The sequence below is a fragment of the Homo sapiens genome, chromosome 11, assembly GCF_000001405.40.
Source record: "Homo sapiens chromosome 11, GRCh38.p14 Primary Assembly".
Lineage (NCBI taxonomy): Eukaryota > Metazoa > Chordata > Mammalia > Primates > Hominidae > Homo > Homo sapiens.
In genome coordinates, this window is record NC_000011.10 from 1,914,949 (window position 1) to 1,938,702 (window position 23,754).

General features: G+C 61.0%; 2 protein-coding genes across 41 annotated transcripts in view, besides 4 other annotated features; one reads left to right on the forward strand and one right to left on the reverse strand.

Annotated features, from left to right (window-relative positions):
- The window catches only part of PRR33 (proline rich 33), a 29,722-nt gene extending 26,962 nt beyond the window's left edge, over nucleotides 1-2,760 (reverse strand). Inside the window, exon 1 of the mRNA XM_047426236.1 lies at nucleotides 2,691-2,760. The gene's annotated coding sequence lies outside the window, so the exon portion shown is untranslated. The remainder of the gene's footprint in view (nucleotides 1-2,690) is intronic.
- Nucleotides 1,473-1,522: a silencer, noted in NCBI's record as "silent region_3064". NCBI's record gives its function as "represses an Ori minimal core promoter by ATAC-STARR-seq in GM12878 lymphoblastoid cells {active_cell/tissue: GM12878}" and the evidence as "EXISTENCE:reporter gene assay evidence [ECO:0000049][PMID:35858748]".
- Nucleotides 2,073-2,122: an enhancer, noted in NCBI's record as "active region_4295". NCBI's record gives its function as "activates an Ori minimal core promoter by ATAC-STARR-seq in GM12878 lymphoblastoid cells {active_cell/tissue: GM12878}" and the evidence as "EXISTENCE:reporter gene assay evidence [ECO:0000049][PMID:35858748]".
- Nucleotides 2,761-4,603: 1,843 nt separating the features above from the next.
- Nucleotides 4,604-23,754, forward strand: TNNT3 (troponin T3, fast skeletal type). 40 transcript variants are annotated; one of them, XM_017018206.2, is made up of 18 exons: nucleotides 4,604-4,625; nucleotides 7,909-7,943; nucleotides 8,100-8,113; nucleotides 8,607-8,624; nucleotides 10,151-10,168; nucleotides 10,308-10,328; nucleotides 11,522-11,533; nucleotides 11,747-11,761; nucleotides 14,172-14,195; nucleotides 14,862-14,880; nucleotides 17,521-17,566; nucleotides 18,773-18,889; nucleotides 18,983-19,060; nucleotides 19,384-19,497; nucleotides 19,598-19,707; nucleotides 19,881-19,971; nucleotides 22,015-22,055; nucleotides 23,490-23,754. In XM_017018206.2, exons 2-18 carry the CDS (start codon nucleotides 7,927-7,929, stop codon nucleotides 23,542-23,544), a joined length of 810 nt encoding a protein of 269 aa, XP_016873695.1. In that variant the 5' UTR covers nucleotides 4,604-4,625; nucleotides 7,909-7,926; the 3' UTR covers nucleotides 23,545-23,754. The 40 variants fall into 40 exon arrangements, with proteins under 40 accessions (XP_016873695.1, XP_016873696.1, XP_024304437.1 ...); NM_001367846.1 differs by lacking the exon at nucleotides 4,604-4,625 and adding an exon at nucleotides 4,755-4,814; XM_011520343.3 differs by lacking the exon at nucleotides 4,604-4,625 and adding an exon at nucleotides 6,414-6,671.
- Nucleotides 20,168-20,356: a silencer, noted in NCBI's record as "fragment chr11:1956346-1956534 (GRCh37/hg19 assembly coordinates)". NCBI's record gives its function as "represses an EF-1alpha promoter that drives an FKBP-Casp9 reporter gene in an ReSE screen in HepG2 liver carcinoma cells {active_cell/tissue: HepG2}" and the evidence as "EXISTENCE:reporter gene assay evidence [ECO:0000049][PMID:32094911]".
- Nucleotides 20,810-21,407: an enhancer, noted in NCBI's record as "H3K27ac-H3K4me1 hESC enhancer chr11:1956988-1957585 (GRCh37/hg19 assembly coordinates)". NCBI's record gives its function as "activates a minimal SCP1, AML or CMV promoter by ChIP-STARR-seq in primed H9 embryonic stem cells {active_cell/tissue: H9 hESC(primed)}" and the evidence as "EXISTENCE:reporter gene assay evidence [ECO:0000049][PMID:30033119]".

The following is a 23,754-nucleotide window of genomic DNA, read 5'->3' on the forward strand; positions in this document are numbered from 1 at the left end:
CTGGGGATGATGTTTGTGTATGTGTGTGTTGGGTGTACAAACCTGGGGATGATATTTCTCTGTGTGTGTGTTGTGGGGACACACGGATGATGTTTGTGAGTGTGTGTGTGTATGTGTTATGGGGTCACACACCTGGGATGTTTCTCTGTGTCTGTGTGTTTTGTGGGGTCACACACCTGGGATGATGTTTCTGTGTGTGTGTGTGTGTGTGTGTGTGTTCTGGGGCCACACAACTGGGATGATGTTTCTCTGTGTGTGTGTGTGTCTTGTGGGGTGTACACACTTAGGGATGATATTGCTATGTGTGTGTGTTCTGGGATCACATCCCTGGGGATGATGTTATTCTCTGTGTGTGTGTTGTGGGATAGGACATCTGAGATGATGTTTCTGTATGTGTGTGTCTGTGTGTTGTGGGGTCACACACGTGGGATGATGTTTCTGTGTGTGTGTGTCTGTGTGTGTATGTTGTGCGGTCACGCACCTGGGATGATGTTTCTGCGTGTGTGTGTATGTGTTGTGGGGTCACACACCTCAGATGATGTTTCTTTGTGTGTGTTGTGGGGTCACACACCTGGGATGTTTCTGTGTGTGTGTGTGTTGTGGGGGGTGATGTTTCTGTGTGTGCATGTGTTGGGGGGGATATTATTTGTATGTGTGTGTGTGCGGGGTGATGTTTCTGTGTGTGTGTGTTGTGGGGGGTGATGTTATGTGTGTGTGTTTTGGGGGGGTGATGTTTCTGTGTGTGTGTGTGTTGTGGGGAGGTGTGTGTGTTGGGGTGATGAGTGGATGTGTGGATGGATGGATGGAGGGAGGGATGGATGGATGAAGGGAGGGTGGATGAAGGGAGGGAGGGAGGGATGGATGGATGCATGAATGGGTAGATGGATAGATGAAGAGATGGATGGATGGATGGATAGACAGGTAGATGGATGGGTAGATAGATGGATAGGTGGGTGGATGAATGGATGGATAGACTAATGATGGATGGATGGATGGATGGCGGGAGGGATAGATGAAATGGAGGGATGAGTGGATGGGTAGGTGATTGTATGGGTGGTTGAAAGGATGGACAGACGGAGGGATGGATGATGGAAGAGAAGGAGGGAGGAAGGAAGGAAAGGAAGTGGTGAAGGTGAGAGTGAATGCATGGGAATGAATAGATGGGTGGATGAATGGACAACTGTGTGAAATAGCAGACAGCCTGGGGACACCCTCCCTCCTGTCCCTCCTCTCCCAGGTCTTGCACTGGGCCCTGACACTCAGCCCTGCAGCCTTCAGCGTCTGGGAAGTCCCTTCGAGGAGCAGCACCCCAGACTCTGATGTTCTGGACTTCACTTTGCCATTCCCTTGGGTCCTCACAGCCACTATTTTCTGAAGGCTTCATGTCAAACCCTGCTTGCCTCATGAATACACACAGTTCAGAAAAGCAAAACCTCGACAGAGCCACCACCCACACAAGGGAGGTGACGTGCCCCCATCCTTTCTCAGATGCCCCAGCCACTGAGAGAGGATCCAGGCCACCCTCCCCAGCTGGGGAACCACCCAGTGACAGCACTCCCCTTGTTTCCCACCTGATCCGCTTGGGACGGTGACCAAGGGCAGCCGAGAGGCAGGCCCAAAGGCCACAGTTGGGCACTCAGCACTGGGGTGCAGAGTGGACAGCACCAGGGGCAGGGGGTAGTTGGGGTCAGCAGTGCTGAGGAGGCAGCCACTGCCCACCCCGCCCCCGACCAGCCCTGGCCCCTTGTCAGATCATCTGCACCCCTCGGCTCAGCCTCGAGAACAAGGACCCAGGGCCTGTCCCTCTGAGCTCTACCCAGCCACAGCCCTGCTGTGTTTCTGATGCAGCCTCCCGTCCACGGCCACAGCAACCCCATGCCCCTGCTCCTGGAAACCTGGAGGTCAGGCCATGCCCAATGCGGAGGTCAGGAGGCTCAAAAGGCCTGCAGCCTAAGAGGCCCCTGGCCAGGGATGGCAGATGAAGCCCCTAGCCTCTGTCCTGCCTGCCAGAGCAGCCACCAGACACCCTGTGACCCTTGCTACAAGCCCCTAGGCCAGCCACAGAGAAGACACCCATCATATCTGCAGAACGAGTCAATGAAACTGCAAAATCAGAAGCACTAGGCATGTGGGGAGGCAGCTACCTAGGGCTGGAGCAGCTCAGTTCCCAAGTGCTGTGTCAGCTGCTCCTGTCCTGGGCCTGGCAGTGATTGAGCCCACAGCTGGGCCGAGCGGCCTCAGGCTGGATCCAGCCTGGGGGCTCAGGTCAGCTCAGGGCATGAGGAGAGGCTCAGGACCCTCTTGGTCTCCACCACCCCCAACCATGCGCACTGGGTGCTGGGACCTAGATTGAGGGGCCCCGGCCACCATCTGGGGGCCACCCAGGCAGGGAGCTGCAGCCAAGACACTCAGGAGGCCATCCTCCCTCCCACAGCCTGCTCCCCACTCCCTGGGCTTGGCTCAGCATTTGCCAATTTCAGAACCCCCCCATCCCCCAACAACTGCCCTAGAGCCAAGGCCCCGTGGTCCGTCCTCAGACTCCTCCTGGGTGGAAATGCGTCCCCAACCCAGGCTGGGCCTCCCTTGTGCCCTGCCCCCACCCAGGTCTACAGTCCCCCAGGAGGCCCCTGCCCTGCCTCCTCTCCTTGGACCATCCCGGTCCGGCCAGATGGCAGCAGGGCATGGGTTACCTGGTGCAGGCCCTCGAGGCCGCTGGTGCCTGCTCTGTGCAGTCCCTGCTACGCCTCAGGCCCAGCGCCCGAGGGGGAGGTCGCCGATACCCAAAATAAAACCTGCCCTATCCCTCTGACCTCAGCTGGCTGGGCGGAGAGCGCCTGCCAAAGCTCCAGGAGCTGGGCGGGCAGCACCTTCCCCTGCTGGCCACACGGGGCCAGTGCAGGGTTATGGCACACCCACCTTCAGGTGCGCCCCTCAGGACCCCTGGCCTGGGTGAGGGCTTGGGTGGGCACAGGCTTCCTAGGCCTGCAGACTGAACCACGTGTAACCAGAATGGTGGGCTCAGGGCTCCGTTAGAGAAGCCGGCAGAGCGAGCCTGGAAAAGGAGGTTGGCCCCACCATGGGAGAGGATGGGGTGGGCCCGCTGACCCCCAGGGACCCGCTCACGTGCCTCTGAGGGAGCAGTTCTGCAGATGTCCCCAGTGGGCAGGAAGCTGGTCACAGATATCCAGGGGCCAGGGCTGTTTGTGGCCCCCAAAGCCTTGCCCATCGAGGACATGGACAGGGAGGGGAAGGCGTGGAATGCAGACGAAGCCACAGACCCAGAGCAGGAGGACGGCGACGTTCCCAGCAACCCCAGCTCCAAGAGCCTTCCCAGTGCCGGGCACTCAGCGGGAGGCAGGCAGGGGACCGGCCCTGTCCTTTGAAATGGCAGCCTGGGGCCAGCCCGCCTTGTCGTGTGACCCCAGGCACACCTTGCCTGTCCCTGGGCTCTGCGGCCTCGCTCTTCCATGGAGGGGTGGAATGAGGTGCCAACCACAGCCTTCCGGAAGGCCCCCGACCCGGCCCCAGGGCACTGTGAGCCCCTGCCGGGTTATCCTGTTGTCCCTGACTCTAAGCCTGGGGAGGACAGGGACCTCATCTGTGCCTCTCGGGACTCACCCCTGTCCTGGGCGCTGGCCAAGAAGGAACCAATCTGTGCCTGAACCGAAGAGTTCCGCAGACACCACCGCCCACGCTCAGCCTGTGGGGTCTGAGGGGAGTGAGGGGGTGGGTCAGGGTGCCAGACTGCTCTCCCCCACCTGGTGCCTCAGTTTCCCTGATCCAAGAGGCAGGGTTATCCAATCTGGTGGCCTCACTGGCCAGCATACAGGCCATCAGAGGCCAGGAAGGATGTCTGCTAGTCGGACGGTGCCACCTGGAGTCCTGAGGAAAGAAAACCAGTCTCCACACGCCACAATGAGCCTGTGGGAGATGCTGGCACAGATGGTAACGGCCACTGCGAGTGCCCAGGGTGGGGCCCCAGGGTTAGAAAGGGCCTAGAGGGAGGACCCAGACCCTTACCCAGCAAACTCCATGTGTAGCCCCCTGCAATGGCAGCAGCCCCGGGGGGAGGTATGGCAGACTCGGACTGCAGCCAGCCTGGCCATGTCCCTCGCCCGCTTATTGTGTAGGCCCCAACGGTGTCTAGCCAGGAAAGCAGAGCTGGCCTCTAAGAGGGTCTCAGATAGGGTGGGGGCCTGGCCTCAGTTCCATGGGGGGTCTCCGAGGCCTCAGGCTGCTTCCTCCCCGGGGGAGACAGCGAAGGGCCTGGGGCATTGGGCCGGGCGGCGGGAGGGGACCCCGGCTGTGCGGACCCTTTTCCTGGACAAATGTTTACTCCCACAGAACATCTCAGAGAGAAGGGGCGGGGGGGTGGGAAACCCGGCAGCCTGGCTCTGGGGACCCCCACACTAGTTTGGCCCAAAGAGAGCCTCGGCTTGGTGCCCCGGGGCCACCCAACACCTTCCTCCTCCCTCCTCAGCCCATCCAGAATGTACCCGCTGCTGGGAGTAAAAATAGCAGCTGACACCTCCTGGAGGCGGAGGGAGGACCTTGCCTCCTTCTCCAAGCACGTCCTCTGCATCCTGGCCTCCTTCAGCCTCCTCCTCTGGCCATTCCTATACTTGGTAAGGGGCCTGCACGGGCATAGCCCCCCCCAGCAAGACTCCGCACACACCCCGGCCACCCAGTCACTGGCCAATGGGCTCCTAGGAAGATCAAATGTCACTATAACACGAGGGTGTGAGCCGGGCGCCAGTGCCTGCAGCCGGTGCTGTCCACAGGGAGCTCCAGCCCTTCTCACACTCGACCCGCAGGTGGGTATAGGCAGGAGCGGCCACCCAGGACTGGGGCCGACGGGGCCTCCTGCGTGCGGGTGGACAGCCCCTCGTTCCAGGGACACTCTGGGGTCCTGGGGCGCTGAGGTCCCAGGTCCGTGTGGTGCCGAGCATCTCGAAGCATCATGGCTCGGAGCCCCCAGGTGGCTGCTCCAGCGTCCGGAGAGTCTGGGATGCGGACATGGTGGTGTGATGGTCTCAGCACCGGGAGGATGCAGAAGAAGGCAGAGTGTGGGAGGCCAGGAGGGGGCAAGTCGGGGCTCAGGGAAGCTCAGTGCTAGGGAGTGGCCTGAGGGCAGGAGGCAGAGAGGTGCGGGCTGTGAGCGGCAGGGAAGAGGCTGTGCAGGGGTGCTGCCAGGGCTTAGGTTGCCAGCTTGTGGTCGCCATGCAGACATTTGCCCAGGCCCGTCCTGGCCTTGCCATGCAGCTCTCGCACCTGGGCCTCCAACACCGCCATTTTGTAGAGATGAAAACGAGGACAGGAGGGCAGGGGCTCCTGTATGGCCAGCCCGAGTGTGTTGGGGTGGGGGCGTCTAAAGCCCACGCAGCCTTGGGGGCCAGCGTCTGGAGGTGCAGGACAGAAGTGGACAGGGGCTGGACTGGGGCAGGACGGGGCAAGAGTGAGGGGCTGGGCTTCATCGCGTCCCCCTGGCTGGAGGCTGGAGAAGCTGGCGCTCGTAAGAGCCCCCACCCACCCTCCCTGCCCTGGACACGGTCCCCCTGACTTGTGCCGTCTGATCAGGCCTTGGCTGCCCCTCCTGAAGTCCACGGAGGGACATGGGGCAAAGCAAAGGTTGGCTGGGTGGAGAACAGGTCTGGGGGCATGGTCAGGGCCACAGCAAGCAAGGGGCAGCGGCTTTTGCCTCCCCACCCTGCCCTGGCCCCGTCACCTCCCAAGGAGGGAAAGGTGATGCATACGTGCCCGAAGAAACTGACCGCATAGGTTATTTTCACGCAGCCCCTCCAAGGCAGGCACTAACTGGACACCTGCTTTGCGTCTCAGCTGTTGAAATGCCATCCCCTGCCCCCAGCACACCCCTGCCCCCAGCACACCCCTGCCACCAGCCCCTCCCCGCAACAGAGGCAATGACACAGGCCATACTGGGGGGAACAGAACAGCCTTGTGTTGCTTCCAGGCGCTCAGCAGAAAACCAGGTGCCTCAGTTTCCCCACTTGGAGAGTGGGCCTTTCCAGCGCACGTCGGGGGGCCTGGAGGTCACCCTGCCTGAGGGTGTTGGGGCACCCATGTGACTCTGGCCTGGGGGGACAGGAGGGAAATATGAGGAGCTGGGGAGGGCCTGGGTGCCCGAGGGTGAGGGGGCAGCTGTGGGCCAAGGAGGGCTGGGCTGTCACACCCGCCTCACCCACGTCTTGGGTTTCTGGGCAGAAACGTCTTGCCTATTTCTGGACACCTCAGCTGCCACTGGCTCCTTATAAATAACCCACCCCAGGCGAGGGCCACGCTGCCCCCATCTTGTGGCAGCCGACAGGTGTCTGCCCCGCCAGCGTCGGGCTGGGCACAGCAGGGCGGGGCCAGGCTCCGCTCCCTCCCTTCACTGACCCTCCTCCTCCTTACAGAGGATGGCCCTAGAGGAGTCTGTGGCGTTTGGGGCCTGAACCAGCTGGGAGGACAGCACGAGGGGCTGGTGGGCAGCCTGGGACTGGGTCACACCGGGGGCCTGGACAACACTGGCTCGTGGGGCTGAGGACTGAGGAGAGCCTGGCCCAGCCGTGGCAGTTACAAGAGGCTTAACCTGAGGGGCAGCAGAGTCTCAGGAAGAGATTCTGGGATAGGAAAAAGCTACCCCCGTTGCCTGGAAGACAGCTATCTGCTGGGTAATTTTGCATGGAGCTTAAGTTGCTCTGGGAAAATTAACATTCTTGACAGAGGGTTTGGAAAACGGTTCCCACCTCAGCAGTGCAACGTAGATGCATTTTTAGCTGATGAACGTGTGTTTTCCTTATACAACACTCCCAGGGGGGACCGTAGCTATTGTCTTCGAGTAATCTGTACTGTGTTGTAATGAACTTTGTTTTCTAAAACCCTGGCCAACATGCCGGTGCAGCTGCTCAGAGCCTCCCCAGGCCTGGCCGCCCAGTGTGCACGGTGGCCAGCTCACAGAGAGACGGTCCCCAGCATGCTGGCCTGGCGCCACCACCGCACATGGACAGGGCAGCCAGTCCTGGGCATGGAGCTTCCCCTAGACAGGGACAGATCCAGAGCATCCCCGGGACCAGGGAAAGCGGCCACAGGGAGGGAAATGGGGGGGCTGTTCTGTGGGCTCCTGCAGTCCAAGTATGCCTTGTACAGAGCCCGGCCCGGGGGGGTGCACGGGAAGCGGCCCAGACCCAACCCAACGTGCTCTGGGGCTCAGCCTCAATGTTTTCAGGGTACAGGGGTAACAAGAAGGAACAGCTTCCCTGCTCTGTGATCTTGGAGGAGGGGTCCTCAGAGGGGTGTGGTGGGACACACTCTGGGCACCCCATAGGAAAACAGGCACAGAAGGGAGCTTTGGGCTCAAATAGGGAAGAGGGGTTCTCATGGGGAATGGTAGGGTGAGCAGATTACTCATCTTGGGGAGCCAGTCTCGGTCATCCAGGGGCTCCCAGGGAGACCCCACCTACACCCACTGGGCAGAGAACACCCAGAGACAGGTTTCAGCTCCATCAGCGGGACCTTTCCAGTGTCTAGAGCGGGCTGGACGGCACACGGCCTGCATTCTGGATGACCCTCCTCAGGGGACGCCACGGAGAGGATGTCTGCCCTGGGTGGGGGTGGACGCCACGACCTTCCAACATCCCTTCCAGCTCCAAGATTCCAAGCTCCAGTCTGGAGCCAGGGCAGGAAGAGGGGACAGAGTCTGGGGCGCCAAGAGCTGGGAGGGGCCAGGAGCCCTGGAGAAAGGGGAGGCCCAAGGAGGTGGACTCACCCAAGGCCAGAGCTGGCCCCCAAACCCTGCCCGCGGTCCCCCACAGCGCTGCTCCAAGACCCCATCCCCCATCCTACACCCAGGCAGCTCGTAACTCTCTTTCCATCCTCTCTCTCTCTCTCTCTCTGAATCTCTCTCTGCAGAAACCACCCACCTTCACCATGTCTGACGAGGAAGTGTGAGTACCCAGCTGGTGGCTGCCCCCTGCCTGGCTCGGGACCCTGGCCCCTTGGCTTCTGTGGGGCTGGAGCATGCGCTATCTTGCACAAGTCCAAGCAAAGCCCAGCCTCACTACCTCTCTCTCTTTCTTTCTCTCTCTCTCCCTGCCCCACAGTGAACAGGTGGAGGGTAAGTGTAACAGCCATTTTCTTTCTACTTCCTGCTCTAGAAGGAAGGCTCACATGTGGGCAGGGGGCTGGACTGTGCATACCCTGTGTCCCCTTGACAGCCCTACATCAGCTGCATCCCATGGGTGGCTTCTGAGTGACCCCCGGAAAACAGCTGTCCAAGTGGGGGGCCTCGTCTTTTCCCCGAAGTGTGGCCACATGGTCCTGAGGGGCCTGCAGGTCAGGCTCTGGGTCCTGTCTCTCTGCTTCTCTCATGCCCACTGTGGGACGTGGGCATCCAGGACCCCCGAGCCCCCCAAAAGCCACCATCATCACCAGAGCCTCTGCCTTCCCCAGCGCCTCCTCAGGGCCCGAGGACCCCTGATTCCACGCTCTTGGGCAGGGGCAGTCGCTGGCCTGTCCAGGGCCGGGACACACTGGCCTCTCATCCTCCTCCTCCCTTCACGGGCTGCCCCTTCTAACGTGGTTCCCCTCTTTGTTCTGTCCCAATGCAGAGCAGTACGAAGAAGAAGGTAATTCTGGCAACCACCGGAAGCCCCCCCAGCCCCTCCTTGGAACTTAACCCCCCTCTCCCGTGTGGCGCTCACAGAACCCCCTCCCCAGGCTGCTCCAGGCCGCCTTGAGCTTGTCAATCAACCTTCCATCTTCCTCATCATTAGTCACTAACAATCACCATTCATCATTAATTAATGATAAATGAGGCCACCACTTAATTAATGATGGATGAGTCATTAAATCATCACTAACCCCTGTCTCTTTAATCGATTAATATGCATTCACGATCCTTCATTAATCCTTCATCCTCCGTGTGCCATGGTGTGTGGAGTTCACTGGGGCTGGTCATGAAGGCCTCAAAACACCGAGTGCCCTGCGTGCCCAGTGCTGCTGTCTCTCTGCCTCTCTCTCTATCTCTACCCTCCCGGCATCTCAGAGTCTCTCCATCTCTCTCCAGTTCCTTTCCGTGTCTCTCTTGGCAACTTTGTCTCTCTGTGTGCCTGTGTATCTCTCAGCTTCTCTCTGTCTCTGTATCTTTCAGCCTCTTGGTCTCTGTCTCTCCCTGCCTCTCTCTCTCAGTCTCTGTCTTTCTTGGCCTCTCTGTCCCCATTTCTCCACCTCCATCTCCATCTCTGTCTCTCTGTGTCTCCATCCCTCCATGCCACCCCCCAACCCTGTGCTGTAACCCTGGGTGGAGCCTGGAGCCCCCTCCCTGTGCTGGCCAGGTGTGGTCTGTGGGCGTCTCCATCGTGCCCGGGCAGGCGTGGGCGGGTGTGGGCGCACCTGGGAACCGTGTGGGGTGGCGGTTCTCAGGCCGACGGCGCTGCCCTGGAATCCCTGGCACCCACTCAACTGGGGAGCGCGTTCACGCAACCTTAGCAGGCAGGGCTGTCCTGTGAGGAGTCCTGAGTGCTATGTTTTGAAAATATTTTGAAAACACTTGGCTACCCTAACAACGTGAGCAAAACATTTATTTTTCTGCCGAAAAGGTGGAAAGACTCATTTCTGCGAGGGAAATATGGCACTGGGGAGCCATCTTTTCTCTTGGGGCAGCCACGTGGCAGGCCGGGAGGCCACGGAAGGGTCTTCGTGCGACATGTCTCTGAAGACCCCTCAGTGCCAGCCTTGTTTCCGGGTGCACTCAGAGCCGGGGCTTCCCGCAGGCCCTGTGGGTTCTGTCCCCGTTCTCACTTGTGTCACCTGCAGAGCAGGACTTAACAAGGGCCCCCGTGCACAGGCGCCTCCAGGCATGGGAATACCAGGCCCCCAGGAGGGTGGGAGGGGCCTCAGAACCCCTCTCAGGGGCCGGGCCCAGCCCAGCTGACAGTGACCAGCTCTGCTGGTGGGAGTCCGTGCTCCCCGGGGCTGGCCAGAGATGCAGGACTGAGCCCCATCTTTCACCCCTGCCAAGCGAGCCCCAGGCCCTCTTCTCCCGGCCAGCCGGCCTCCTGTCCTTGCGGCCTGAGTACACTCTGATCACTGTCTCTGTTCCCTGTCTCCCTCAACCCCGCCTTCTCCTGCTCCTGGCTTCTCCGGCTCTCAGAGGAAGCCCAGGAGGAAGGTAAGTGGGGTCCAAGGCCCCGGCCCCCATGCCCACTCCCCAGCCTTCCCGCCCCACCCAAAGTTGACCTCCACCCCGCCTCTAAGGATTGCTGTGTGCCCCTGTCTAACCCTCTCCTCTCTCCCCCGGCTCTCCTCAGCTGCAGAAGTCCATGAGGAAGGTATGAGGACACAGGACTTCTTGTCCCCATGTGGGGCCCGGGGCCTGGCTGGAGCCCATGTGGGGGTGGGGGAGAGGGGGAGAGGGTGGGGAAGCCACGAGGTACCAGCCAGCCAAGGGGCCCCCACATGTGGCCCTAATGTAACCCACTAACCGCGGCCAATGCTTGACCAGAGAGAGAATGGGGTCTCGAGGGTGGGCCCCCTTCCCCACAGCCCCCCAGGCAGTAGGGCCAGGGACTCCCCAGGCAGGTGCAGGCTGGGCTGCTGGTCAGCAGGGTGTCCCCAAGCATGGGGCAGAGGGGACACGTAGGCCCACCCTAGTCCTCCACCCCAGGGTAGGCAGTCCAGAGCCCGTGGTGGCGTCGACCCCTGGGCCTGGCCAGGACGCCCGCCACATCTTGGGATGGCACAGAGTGAGGGGAGAGAAGGCGGCTGGGGGCAGAACCCTGCAGCCTGGCACAGTCAGCTCCCTCGTGAGCATGCCCTCGTCAGCCCCCCAGGCCCCCTCACAGCCTTCTGCTATGAGACCCTTGAGGTGCACACAGGCTGGGAGCAGATGGGAGGGCTGGGGTCCCATGCCCAGATCAGCAGGCAGAGCCATCACTGGTGCCCAGGGCTGCCAGCACCCTTGGAGGGTGGAAAGAATTCCATCAGGGAAAGAACGAGTGGGCCCCCAGCGTTGGGATGGCAGGAAGTGGGGGTCCTGGGGACGCCTTCCATGGCCCATCCATGGCTCTGCCTCCCAGGGCTACCAGCACTGCCTTTGTGGGCCCTTGGTGCCACCCGGCCAGGCTACAACCTCGCACGTGGGCCTTGGTGCCCCGGCCAGAGGCGCGGACACCCTTCTGGGGGCGCCCCAGGACAGACAGGGGATGGGGGCGAGCAAAGGAAGGCCCAGCCCCAGTACTGAGCCTGCTCCACCAAGGACAAGAGCCACAGCTCCCGGCCATCCTCTGAGCCTCAGTTTCCCCACCTGGGGTGCTCCCAGATGCTGAGAGCAGGGTTTGGGGACATGGGACTGGGGCGGTGGCCGCGCCTGGGCTAACTCTGACCGTGTCTTGCTCGCTCCCCGCACGCACCCCACCCTCGGCCTCGAGTGGCGACGGGCTTTTCCATTAACCTCGGACGCTTCTCCATTGACCTCTGACCCGCGGTTTTGCCTCTTGTTCCGTGGCCTCCTTGGCCCGTGAAGTTCATGAACCAGGTACGTGCATGACTTCGATGCCACATGGGCACGTGTGGCCATGTGGGGGGTGCAGGACCCAAGAAGGAACAAGAGGGGCCGCGTAACCCTGCACAGCCTGGCCTGCTCGCTCCGCCGCCTCGGCCCTGCCCGCCCTCCTCTCTGCGCTGCCACCACTCACACTGGTCCTCTCTCTCTCCCGCCCTTTCTGCCACCATGACGCTGCTTCTGCAGAGGAAGTTCAAGAAGGTACGCCGGCGCTCCCCCGCCTCCAGGCCAGAGTCTCCGTCCTCCCTTCTGTCCTCTCTTGCTTCCTCCCTCTTGCCCACCCCTTGTGACGTTTGCCACCAACAACTGAACCCGTTCTGGCCTCTGGGCTGGGGACAGAGTGAGGACCCTGGCTTGGGAAGGGCTGGCCGGTACAGTGCAGGCTTCCTCTGTGTCTCCCAGGCAGAGAGGATTGATTCCATAGCCTGGGGACAATGAGGCCCTTCCTGGGCTGCCAACAGGAAGGTGGGAGGTGGGGGTGGCCAGCCTTGAGGCCGAGGCAGAGCAGGCCTTGGGAGGACGGTGCTGGGGTCCACTGGGACCCTCTGGATCCACCAGGGTGGGGTGGGAAGAGCGCAGGAGAGGCCTCCACCCTGCCCCAGTTAGCAAGCCAGAAGCGGGAAGGTAGGGAGGGGTGAGGTGGAAGGGAGGGTGGAGGGGCAAGTGGAGTGAAGCAGAAAAGCAGGCTGAGGCCCAAGGTGGGGACGCTGGGGACCCGGAACAGCCAGGGGCCATGCGTGCAAAGGCCCAGTCAGGTCCCAGCATCCCACCCATTGCCTGGGCCTGAGCCAGACACACCCGGAGTGAGGAGGCCCCCTGGGTGGGCCTGCCCTCCCTGGTAGTGGGGCCGGCTGTACTGGGTGGAGGTCAGAGAGCTGCACATTCAAGTCAGGGGCCCCAGCTGGGGAGTGCTTCTCAGCTCCCCCCGTTCATGGGCCGTGGGGCTGAGGGGCTCCTCCCTGCCGGGCCTGAGCTCTTGCGTGACTCGAGCCTCGGAGAGGCCCCTGGACAAGAAGGGACATGCTGGGAGGGGGATGGGACTCCAGCCATGCAGGGAGGTGTCCAGGAGATAGCCTGTGGGGATGACAGGGTTGCTGGGCCGCTCTGGAACCAGCACTGAGGCCAGCGGACAGACGGACAGCAGGGCAGGGTGGGGCAGGAGCAGAGGAGGCAGGGCCGCAGGACAGCTTTTGCCGCTTGGCTGTGTGCTCGCTCCCCGAAATTGCTCAGCCTCCCACCCGACCTCGCCCTCCTCCCTGGCCGGCCTTCCCACCCGGAGGGGCTCCTCAGCCACGCACTGCGTCCAGCAAAACCACTAAGTCAGGGAGGCCAGGGCGGGCAGCCCATTCATCGTCCTCACCGCGCTGTTCCTTCCGGGCCCTTGGCTGGAACGCTCAGGATGCCCCACCGCTCACTCCCGGTGCACATGTGCCCCAAGGCATCCGGAACGGGTGACCTCAGGCCCACCTGCAAAACCAAGAGCGCTGGCGGGCTCTCTGTGGTGTGCAGGGGGCTCCCAGGCAACCGAGGTATCTGCCAGCGAGGAGGACTCAAGGACCAGTGCACCCCAGGCCAGGCACTGGCAAGGCAGGACCCCCACCCCCGGGCCCAGGCCTGCTGGCCTTAGCCAAGTGCAGGGGACAGCGCTGGGTCAGACTTGGAGGGCCGAGGGCATCGTGTGTCAACGGCCTTGCTGCCACCTAAGGCCCAGAGCAGGGACTGAAGGGACAGGATGGGCGGGTGCCACTAGGCCAGCGGCAGACCCCCCTCCTGGGCCCCAGCTGGGCCAGGCCAGCCAGGTCCACCCCAGGGTCTAGGAGCAGAGTGTATCCTAAAGGAAGCCACCCCTTATTAGGGTGGCCAGGGCAGGCCAGGCAGACCCCAGAGGTGGCCAGGGAGAGGTAGCAGGGGGGTCCCAGAGGGGCCCAGTCTCAGGACAGCAGCCATGTGGCAGTCAGAGGGCAAGCCCCAGGGAGGTCAGGGATGAGTGCGCCTGGGCTCCTGGCCTGTGGGTGGGGGCTGTGGTGGACATTCCGGACTCAGGCGGGGGCTCCTGGGGCTGAGACCAGCAAGGAGTTAGACATCACGTTGCCGGCAGAGGCTCCTGAGGCCTGAGGGCTGTAGTCATTCCATGAACTGCTGGGTTCCACCCAGTAACACAGCCTTTACAGGCAGGGGTCAGGCTCCGGGAAGCACGAAGCAAAGGGGCTGCACCCACCCCGGCTGCAACGCCCTCTTGGTGGAGAGGGTCTCAGATGCCAAGGTTGGCCCTGCCAGACCCAAGAGGACAGACCGGGGGGACAGATGAGACCCAGTGCCCTTAGCCCCCCACCTTGCCCCGCGAGGTCCCCGTGTCCCTCCTATTCTCCACTAGGTCTTCCAGGCAGGAGCTCCACTGGGCACCCAGCCCCTTCCACCCCCTCCCCAGGCATTGATTCACCGGCCCCAGCTTGGGGCACTTGTAGGGCCCCGCAGGCACACCCTGGAGAAGAGAGTGTCCGAGTGAGAGGGGTGGGCCCCTTGCCCGCCACAGGCCCCTTGCCCACTGCTCCCCCGCAGCCGCACTGGCTTTTCTCTTGCATGTGTGCTTGTGCCTTTTGCCACCTGGAAGACACCGCAGAGGAGGACGCGGAAGGTAAGGGCCCGTCCCTGCCGCCGGAGGTGCAGGACCCTGGCTCTAGCCGACGCGAGGGAAAGAGGACAGGCTGGGGTCTCTCGCTGCCCTGCCTCCTCCTCCCTCTGTCCTCTTTCTCTTCCCCTGGCACGGGGGCCTCGGAGGGCCAGGCCTTGCTGCTCCGCACGGTGCCGCTGGGGTCGAGCTGCCAGGGCCTCGCGGGTGCCACCGCTCCAAGTTTCTGCCACACAGCGGAGGGGGAGTAAGCGGGACCAGCCAGCAGTGCCAGAGCCCGGGCCGGGCACGCCCCCCTCCCCTTTCTCCCAAGCCCCTTTCCTCCCAATCTTCTTCCCGAGCCCCTGTCCTCTTTGCTCCGTCTCCTCCCTTCCCAGCCTTCAAGGACGCGGCCTGTCTCGCTCCTATTTCTTCCCTACCTCTTCCTCACCCTTCCTCCTGGCCCCAGGCCCTGAGCTCTTCCCCTCCAACCCTGCCAGGGGCTTTTGCAGGCCTAGAGCAGAAACAGGACCCTCTTGTTTCTGGGGGTTGGGGGTACTCCCAGCTGAAAAGGACGGTGGCCTTCAGTGAAGGGGAACCCAGGGCCGCAGGCCGCCCAGTCTCACCCAGGCTGTCTCTCTCCCTCTCCCCACGCTGGTGTCCCTCTCCCTACGCTGGTGCTGTGTGGACCAGAGGAGAAACCGAGACCCAAGTGAGTGTGGGGTCCTGGCAGGCCCGCTGCTGAGTGTGTTCTGGGGTGGGGGTGGTCAAGTGAGTGTGGGGTCCTGGCAGGCCCAGTGCCGAGTGTGTTCTGGGGTGGCGGTGGCCAAGTGAGTGTGGGGTCCTGGCAGGCCCAGCGCCTCGTGTGTTCCGTGGTGGAGGCGGAGGAGAGGGCCAGGGCCAGATGCCTGGAGCCTGCATTCGGAGGGACGCTCAGAGCGCAGGGTGGGAGGGATGAGGGTCACCTGGGAGATGGGCTTGGGAGGCCCAGCAGGGTGTGATTTTGCCCAGGGTCATCCAGTGCAGACAAGGAGGGCTTCCTGTAGGAGGAGGCTGCAGACGAGGAAGGAGGGAGGAGAGGTGGGTGGGAGAGAGTTGAGGAAGGAAGGCGGGGCAGCTGGTGCAGGGAGTCTGGCCACCGCAACACCCCACGGCCTTCGGGGGACCACACCAAGCCCCGCCATACTTCTAGGACTCCCAGAGTCCTAGATTGAAAAGCGACAGGAAAGTGAGTCCGGAAGTGGAGAAAGGTGGGGGACTCAGCCCAGAAACCCACTTCAGAATGACACCTTGACCGTGTCCAGAAGAGCTCACTGTGCAGGGGCCCCTGCTCCCCTTTGGGGCAGAATTCAGAGGAGCTTGTCCTCATCGCACCTGCTTGTGAGCACTTCGTGGGTTGGTTTTTTTAATGCAGCTCTTCTGACTTTTCTGCTTTTGATCGGTATTCACCAGCCACAGCACTCGCTACGTGATTCACCCTTTTATCTCTCGAGTGCTCTTGCCTGTGTGTTGCTCTGTGCGAAGTGGAATCTTAGAGCATCTTGACACACACTCACTGTTGGCTCCCACTTGGGGAGCATTGCAGATTCTCAGAAGAGTGAGAACATCTGAAGGGTACAGCCGGCGTATTCCCACCCTTTGCACTGTATTTTTCAGTGATTTTAAGTACAGTAATGCTGGATCATGAGATATTTTCTCATTTTAGAAAAATTGTTTGTGTTTTCATTATGAAAATAAGACACCTCATGAAAGAAAATTTGGAAAATATATAAAAGTCAAATGAAGAAAAAACGTCATCTATAATTCTCCCACCCAGCCAGCCAGACTGTGGAAAAGAGCAGAAAGAAATAAAAAGCCTTATTTCTTCCTTTTTTCCATGCATAGCGCTTGGAAAAAAAAGATTTAAAGTCGGCCTTGTTTTTCAAACATCATACCGTCTCTACGGCCTTGAATTCTGCTTTTTTTAAAATTTAGCACTATTCATAAGTATTTTTCCATGTTTTTACACAGTCTTCTTAAATATTTTGAATGGCCACATAATATTCCATCAATTGGACAAACCATAATTTTCCTAACCATTCCCCTATTGCAGGCTTTCCCCAATATTTTACTATCATAAATAACGCTGGTTGGAAAGCGTTTTCCATCTTTAGGGTTATTTCCGTAGGCCACATTCCCAGAACTGGAATTACTGGGTCAAAGAGTATGAATGTTCTTAAGGCTTTGACATCCACTGCCAAATTGCTTTCCACAAGGGCCTGGCCAACGCCGTCTCCTACGTGGGATGTGAGCGGGTCTGTGTCCCACACCCTCCTCACCCAGGGACAGGAACGTGCTTTTACATTGCAGCCTCTGATGGATGAGAAACGGCACCTCATGATTCTTTGGCTTTGCGCCCTAACAGTCACTCGGGGCCAGCGTTTCCCTGAGTTTGGGATGGGTCGTCTCTTCTCTGAGAACTCGTAGCTACGGCCATTGCTCATTTGTCTCCTGGTGGAGGAATCTCTGTGTTTTCTTAGTCATCAGTTTGCATAAGGATATAAGTCTTCTCTGTATTTGCTGAAAATTTTTTTTAGTCTTTTTTTTTTGCCTTTCCATTTTCCGTTTTTTTTTTTTTTTTCACATACATACGTTTTTCATTTGCGTGGTGTCATCTGGCCTTCTTTCCCTTAGAGGCACCTTCTGGTGCTCCTGAGCTTAGGAAACCCTTTCCTGCTCCAGTTTCTGATTGATATTTAGTTCCACTTTCTTCTATGGTTTGTTGGAAAAAATTGTTGTTGTTTTAACTCTTTGCTGCATCTGGAATGTATTGGTGAGAGGAGGGGACTGCACACCCAGCCGGAGAGGGGGCCTCATTTCCCCTTCAGATTGCTTTCTTCCCAGCCCCCTCTCCTCCTTCCTTTGGGCCCCCAGAGAGAAAGATGAAAGAGGGGCTGGGGAAAGGCACAGGCTCGCAGCAGCCATTCCTGCCCAGGGAGGCCACCGCCACCCACAGTGGCCATCGCTTCTCACCCGACATGGCTGCATTTGTTTATCTGTTTGAGGAGGAAACAGAGGTGCCCTCCCTGGTAGCTGGGGTGCAGTGACATTGCAATGGCCAGAAGCCAAAAGGCAGACGGTGGCGCTGGAAGCGGAAGCCTTCTTGAGGGGCTCAAGCCACTCTCAGGATGGTGGGCTACAAACCTCATAAGAATAAAGCTGGGGCAAACGTGTCACTAGGCGGGCATGCTTGGCTGGGGGCCAGAGCAGGAGGGCACCAGGGTTGGCAGGGGCCAGCGGGGAAAGCGCCAGGCTGACCCTCTGGGGTGGGTCTCCGGGTCTCTGCTCACGGGCCTCTCTGTCTCCTCTTCAGACTCACTGCTCCTAAGATCCCAGAAGGGGAGAAAGTGGACTTCGATGTAAGTTTACAGGACTCTGGTTAACATGTCCACGGTTTCCCCACACCCCAGCTTTTGGGCTCTAGGCCTCAGAAGGTCACTTCCTCCCAAGTAGCCAGAGCCGGGGCCTCCTGGGTCTGGGCAATTCTACCATAGCTTATTCCTGGGCCAGAGGAAACCCCTCTAAGAATAAGCATCTCTCTTCCCTTCTCCTCCATCTATCCTTCTATCCATCCATCCACCCACCCACGTAAGCTCCTACCCATTCACCTATCCATTCATACACCCACCCACACACCCATCCACTCAACCATCTATCCATCCATTCATCCACCCAACCACCCACCTACCCATCCATCCATCCATCCATCCATCCATCCTGCCTTACTTCCATCCATCCAACCAGCCACGTATCCACTCACCCATTCATCCATCCATCCACCCACCCAACCACCCATTCATACACTCACCTACCTATCCACTCACTCATCTCTCCACTCACCTACTCGCTCACCCACCCATCCACCCATCCATCCATCCATTCATACCACTCATTCATCTACTCATCCATCCATCGATCCATCTATCATCCACTCACTCACATAACCATCCACTCATCCACCCTCCCACCCACCCACCCATTCACCCATTCATCCTCCCATCCACCCACCCACCCACTCACCCACCATCCACGCATCCTCTACCATTAATCCACATAATCATTCCTCCACCCATCTACCTATCCATCCATTCATCCATCCATCCATTTCTCCAATCATCCATCTATCCACCCAGTCATCTGTCTCCATCCTCTCTCACTCATCCACCCATCCATCAGCTCATCTGTTCACATGCCTACCTATGTATCCAACAATTTCTCTCACTCTGCAGTCTTCTCTCTGCCAGGCCCATGCAGGGCATCTCTGAGGATGATGACAGAGCCAAGTCAGGGCCAGTCCATCCTAAGGATGCTGAGGACCTTATGGCTGGGCACCATCCCTGCTGTGTGGCTCAGGAATCAGGCCACCCTCGGCCCCTATGAGGATAGCAGCCATGGCAATGTGGAGAAGGCAAAACATTCCTTGCCACTTGCCATTTTCATGGTGGCCAAGGGAGTCAGGGCTTCTCTGCTGGGGCAAAGGAAGGGACCTCTTGCTGCAAGGCAGGCCAGGCAGGGCAGAGGTTGGAGAGAGGGGTGGGGCTCACACCCACTGCCCCTGCCCACAGGACATCCAGAAGAAGCGTCAGAACAAAGACCTAATGGAGCTCCAGGCCCTCATCGACAGCCACTTTGAAGCCCGGAAGAAGGAGGAGGAGGAGCTGGTCGCTCTCAAAGAGAGAATCGTGAGTGGGGCAGTTCAGGTTGCAGCAGGGGCTGGTGGACTCCCTCGGAGGAGCCGGGGACAGGGCTGAGCAGACCCCCTTCTCTGGCTGCAGGAGAAGCGCCGTGCAGAGAGAGCGGAGCAGCAGAGGATTCGTGCAGAGAAGGAGAGGGAGCGCCAGAACAGACTGGCGGTGAGGGCACCATCCGCACTGCTGCCTCATCAGAGAATGAGCCCCAGGCCCAGAGAAATGCAGGGGGCTGAGGCCTTCCTTCTCCCGGGGTTCCCATTGTCATTGGCCAATGATCAGAACCACTGGCTAAGGCCCCGGCGCCCTGCAGAACCCCTTGCCAGAAAACAAATCCTGGCCAAGACCTGGAGCTTCCTTCCAGATAGTTCTAAGCCCAGGGTGGGCCCTTCCAGACAGCTCTAAGCCCAGGGTGGGTCCCTAAAGCCTGCCCAGAAAGCATAGCCCTCTCTCCATCCCTGAGCATCTTGGGAATGGGGTCTCCACAGGAGGAAAAGGCCAGAAGGGAGGAGGAGGATGCCAAGAGGAGGGCAGAGGACGACCTGAAGAAGAAGAAAGCTCTGTCTTCCATGGGAGCCAACTACAGCAGCTACCTGGCCAAGGTGTGTGCCGCTGCTGGGAGCACGGTGGTAGCCTTCAGTGTGGGCTACGCCCTGTGCCCTCCTGAGACCAGGCCCCTCTCTTTGGGCCTGTCCGCTGCAGGCTGACCAGAAGAGAGGCAAGAAGCAGACAGCCCGGGAAATGAAGAAGAAGATTCTGGCTGAGAGACGCAAGCCGCTCAACATCGATCACCTTGGTGAAGACAAACTGAGGTGAGGGGTGGGTGTTGTGGGGCTCAGCCCCACGGGGTGGCCCCTGCAGGAGCTGCCGACTGCTCCTCAGGCTGCCAAGGACCGTGCTCCCCAGTGGCTGCAGGAGGACTCCAGGGGCCTGGCCCTGCCTTTGGGGCTTATTCAACGAAGCCTCACCACTTCCTCTGCCCCAGGGACAAGGCCAAGGAGCTCTGGGAGACCCTGCACCAGCTGGAGATTGACAAGTTCGAGTTTGGGGAGAAGCTGAAACGCCAGAAATATGACGTGAGTCCCGGCACCTCCGGCCCTGGGGCCCTAGCGGCTTTCACCCACCAGCAGAGCAGCCATCTCCCTGCGTCCCTACCAAACTCTGGACCTGCCCACCCCAGGGACCTGGACCCTGAGAGGCCCAAACAGGCTGTTGCCACGGACCCCTGGCTGAGGCTGCTTTCCTGCTGGGGACTGTGGCCAGAGCCCGTCCTCCTGGCTGGCCATGCAGCGCCCTGAGCGATGAACCTGGCCCCTTTGGGCGGCCTTGGTTACCCCTGCCAAAAGGACTGTCGTGGCAGAGCAGCCATGGCCAAGTGGACTCAGGGTTCATTTTCGGAACCCCTTTAAGCTTATAGAAAGTCCCCATCATCACCCAGCTCGGCCCCGGGGCACCGAGTCCGTCTGGTGTGGGGCGTCCTTTCGACAGAGCCTCCTCCACAAACCCAGACTCTGGCTTCCACCAGGGCCCCGGACACCTGCTTCCTCAGGGCAGACAGAGAGGGGTGACACACTGCACCCTGTGGCTGGGAAAAGGGGCCTGGGACTGTGCCCGTCTGGGACGGAGCAGAGCCACCATCCCATGCAGGCACTATCACCGCAGGCAAAGCTGGGACTGGGGAAGGCAGCCTGCCCGGGCGGCCTCAGGGACTGGGGTACAATGTGGGAGCTAGGGTGGAAGCCAAGCTGCTTCCCACCCTCCCAAACACCCGTTTGGGCTCCAGGGGCGAGGGGTGAGGGGCGCAGCCATGGGTGATCCACGTGCTCGGGGCAAATGCAGACACTCCAGCATCACCATCAGGGCCACGATGTCCACCCTCCAGCACCGCCAGAGGCCCCAGGGGAGGGCGGCTGTGCCCACGGGGCTTGTGCTCTACCCAGGTGCAGCAGGTGTGGGGCGACCAGTCCAAGCCAGCCGGGCAAATCCGAGCTCCTTCTCGGGGGTTCTGGGCAGGCCACCTGTTCCACCTGAGCTTCCACGAGCTCCCCTCCGACAGAGGCAGGGCGATTACACTCCCTCCCAGAGCTGTCCCCAGGGGGTCCAGGCATGAGGGACAGCCCTGACCTCACCCTTGGGGCTCTCCCAGAGGGGCTGGCCCTGAGACGGGCTTCACGGCACAGGACCCAGGTCCTTCCCATGCTGTGTTCCCAGAGCTGAATCAGGGACCCACTGGCTTTGGATAGATGCGGCCACAGCGGGCCCCCAGGGGCTCCAGAGCCTGGAGGGCCATCACCAGGCCAAGCTAGCCCACAGCCGGGCCTCGATGCCCCAGCCGCCCATCCAGCCTTGTAACCATCTTGGTCTTTCTAGATCATGAATGTCCGGGCCAGAGTGCAGATGCTGGCCAAGTTGTAAGTAGCCGGGTCCGCCCTGGGCCAGGCCCGTGGGTGTGCGTTGCACGGTGAGGTGAACCTCTCGCATGGCAAAAACCTGGATCGCTCAGGATGCTGGCGGCAGGGGGCCTGGAGCCTTCCTCCTGCCCCCGCTCTCCCCTCGTGCCTGCAGCCGGGGGCTTCCCAGTGGCCGCTGCCCTGTTGGCAAGCGAGGAAGGGCCCCCACCTTCCCAGGAGCTCCGCCTCAAGCCAGCAGCGGCCACAGAGTGCCCCTGGGCACAGGCACGAGGGCGGGAGCGGCTGGCCCAGGAGCAGCAGGGCCGTTCGGAGCTCTGAGCTCAGCGGCTGAAGGGAGCTGGAGCTGAGAAGGAGGGGTCCGCAGGCCTCACCTGCAACCCCTCCCCAGCCCCATCCGTGCTCCGTACCCCCCGCCCCACATCCTGCCGCAGGCTGAAGGTAAGTGGCCAGCTACGGGCTGCTGTGTGTGGCAGTCCAGGCCAGTACAGGCTGGCGAGAGTAAGTCCAGGCATGAGCCCAGGGGCCACGGGACGGTGTCCCCCTGCACAAGGAGCCAGGAGACAGTAAGGGAGCCGAGGAGCCCTCATGGGGGCCCAGCAGCCCTGGGTCGCGCAGCCCAGCCCACCCTGCGGTGGAGACAGGCCTTCACCCAGTACACGCAGGCCTGGCCCTCGGGTCGTCGCAGTGAGTCACTCATGTTGTTCACAGATCACCACGCTCAGGAGCCGCATTGACCAGGCCCAGAAGCAGTGAGTAGCCCTGCCGTCCTCGCTCCGCACTGGGCACAGGGGCCCTTGGGGCCAGCCGCTGTAGCCAGTCCCTAACAAGGGCCGGTGGTGGCTGGCCTCGGCAGGGCAGTAACGAGACTAACCCGGCCAGGCCACCCAGGCCAGCATGCGCAGGCCTGTGGCCAGGGACCCGGAGCCTCCTCCCTCTCCTGCACGCAGGGGAGCCCTGGGGGGTGGCAGAGTCAGGAGGAGGGATCCCAATGGGGCTTGCCTGTCACGCCCTCGCCCCGAGTCTGGCACTGGCTGCAGGGAGAGGGCAGCCAGGGGACCCCTAGAAGGGGCTACTCGGGGGGCCTTTGGTGTGGCCAACCTGGGCCCCAGGGTATCCCGCCAGTGTCCCACCCTCCAAGGGGACCTAGGACAGGGAATTAAGCAGTCAGGGCTTCATCACCAGCCCCTCTGTGACGCTGGGCAAAATCATGGACTCCTCAGGATGGTGAAACCTCATCCATAAAATCGTGTCCCTGGGGGCTGTGGGATCCCTTGACACAGCTACTCGACCACCTGCATGGGGCTGCACCCAGGGTGCCCCCGGCGATGCCACGCTGGGGATCCTGTCATGGAGCCCAGCTGCACAGCCAGTGCCATTTCCCCAAGGATCGCAGTGTTTGGGGGCTACTTGGAGTTTCGATGTTTTCTGGGATTCTTCTCCCTCCTCCTGTCGCCTTGGCTTCCCTGCGGCGCCCAGGGCGGGCTCCTCCGTGGTGCACGTGACCTCACGGCCTCCCTGTTGTGCCGTCAGGGGTCATTGCAGACCCCTCTGAGGGTGGGCAGTCGGCGTGGTGTGCATGTGCCTGCGTGTGTGCATGTGTGCATGTGCCGAGAGTGCCCAGGAACGTGTGTGAGGGCACGGCCTTTGCCAGCCAGGTGTCCTGCTGAGCAGCCGCGTCTGAATGGGGCCGGCCTCGCGGGCCGAAGCACTCCTGTCCTCCACCCGCCTTCACCCCTCACCCGCACCCAGCTCCTCCCGGCTCGTGGCCACATGAAGACCTCAGACAAATGGGGCAGGCTCCTGGGCCCCTCAGAGGCCACCGTCTGGAGGGGCATGAGCTCTTTCAAGGCCAAGCGTCTAGGATTATATCATTATCTGCTAAGACAGTCTTCCCCAGCTCAGGGGTCTGTCTGCAGTGGTACCTCAGGCAAAGAAAGGAGGACAGAGGGAGGGTGCCCCGGGCTCACGTGCCAGCCCCCTAACCACACTAACGACCTAGGCCCGCCAGGCACAGGTGAGTGGGCACTGCCCGGACTGAAGCTGGGTGTGGGCCGCAAGCTTGGGCCGGGCCTGTGCCCTGAGAGCAGCCTGGGGTCGGGCTGAGAGTCCGCCCAGGGTGGGGGACCAGGAGGGGCATGGCCAGAGGCCCTGACCCTGAAGGATCACTTGCTTCCCATTTGCAGCAGCAAGAAGGCTGGGACCCCAGCCAAGGGCAAAGTCGGCGGGCGCTGGAAGTAGAGAGGCCAGAAAGGCCCCTCGAGGCAGAGACCCTCCGCCCTCTTGCACACCAGGGCCGCTCGTGGGACTCCACATCCTCCAGCCCCCACAATCCTGTCAGGGGCTCCCTGACAGTCCTGGGGGTGGAGAGGCCATCCCGGGGCGTCCCCCGCGTCTGTGTCCTTGCTGCCTTCATCCCCTGGGGCCTGTGAATAAAGCTGCAGAACCCCC

Coding starts and splice junctions, on each gene's coding strand:
- TNNT3 (XM_017018206.2), top strand. Junction 17,567..18,772: donor GGGAGAAAGTGGACTTCGAT/GTAAGTTTACAG, acceptor CCCTGCCCACAG/GACATCCAGAAGAAGCGTCA. Junction 19,498..19,597: donor ACAGCAGCTACCTGGCCAAG/GTGTGTGCCGCT, acceptor TGTCCGCTGCAG/GCTGACCAGAAGAGAGGCAA.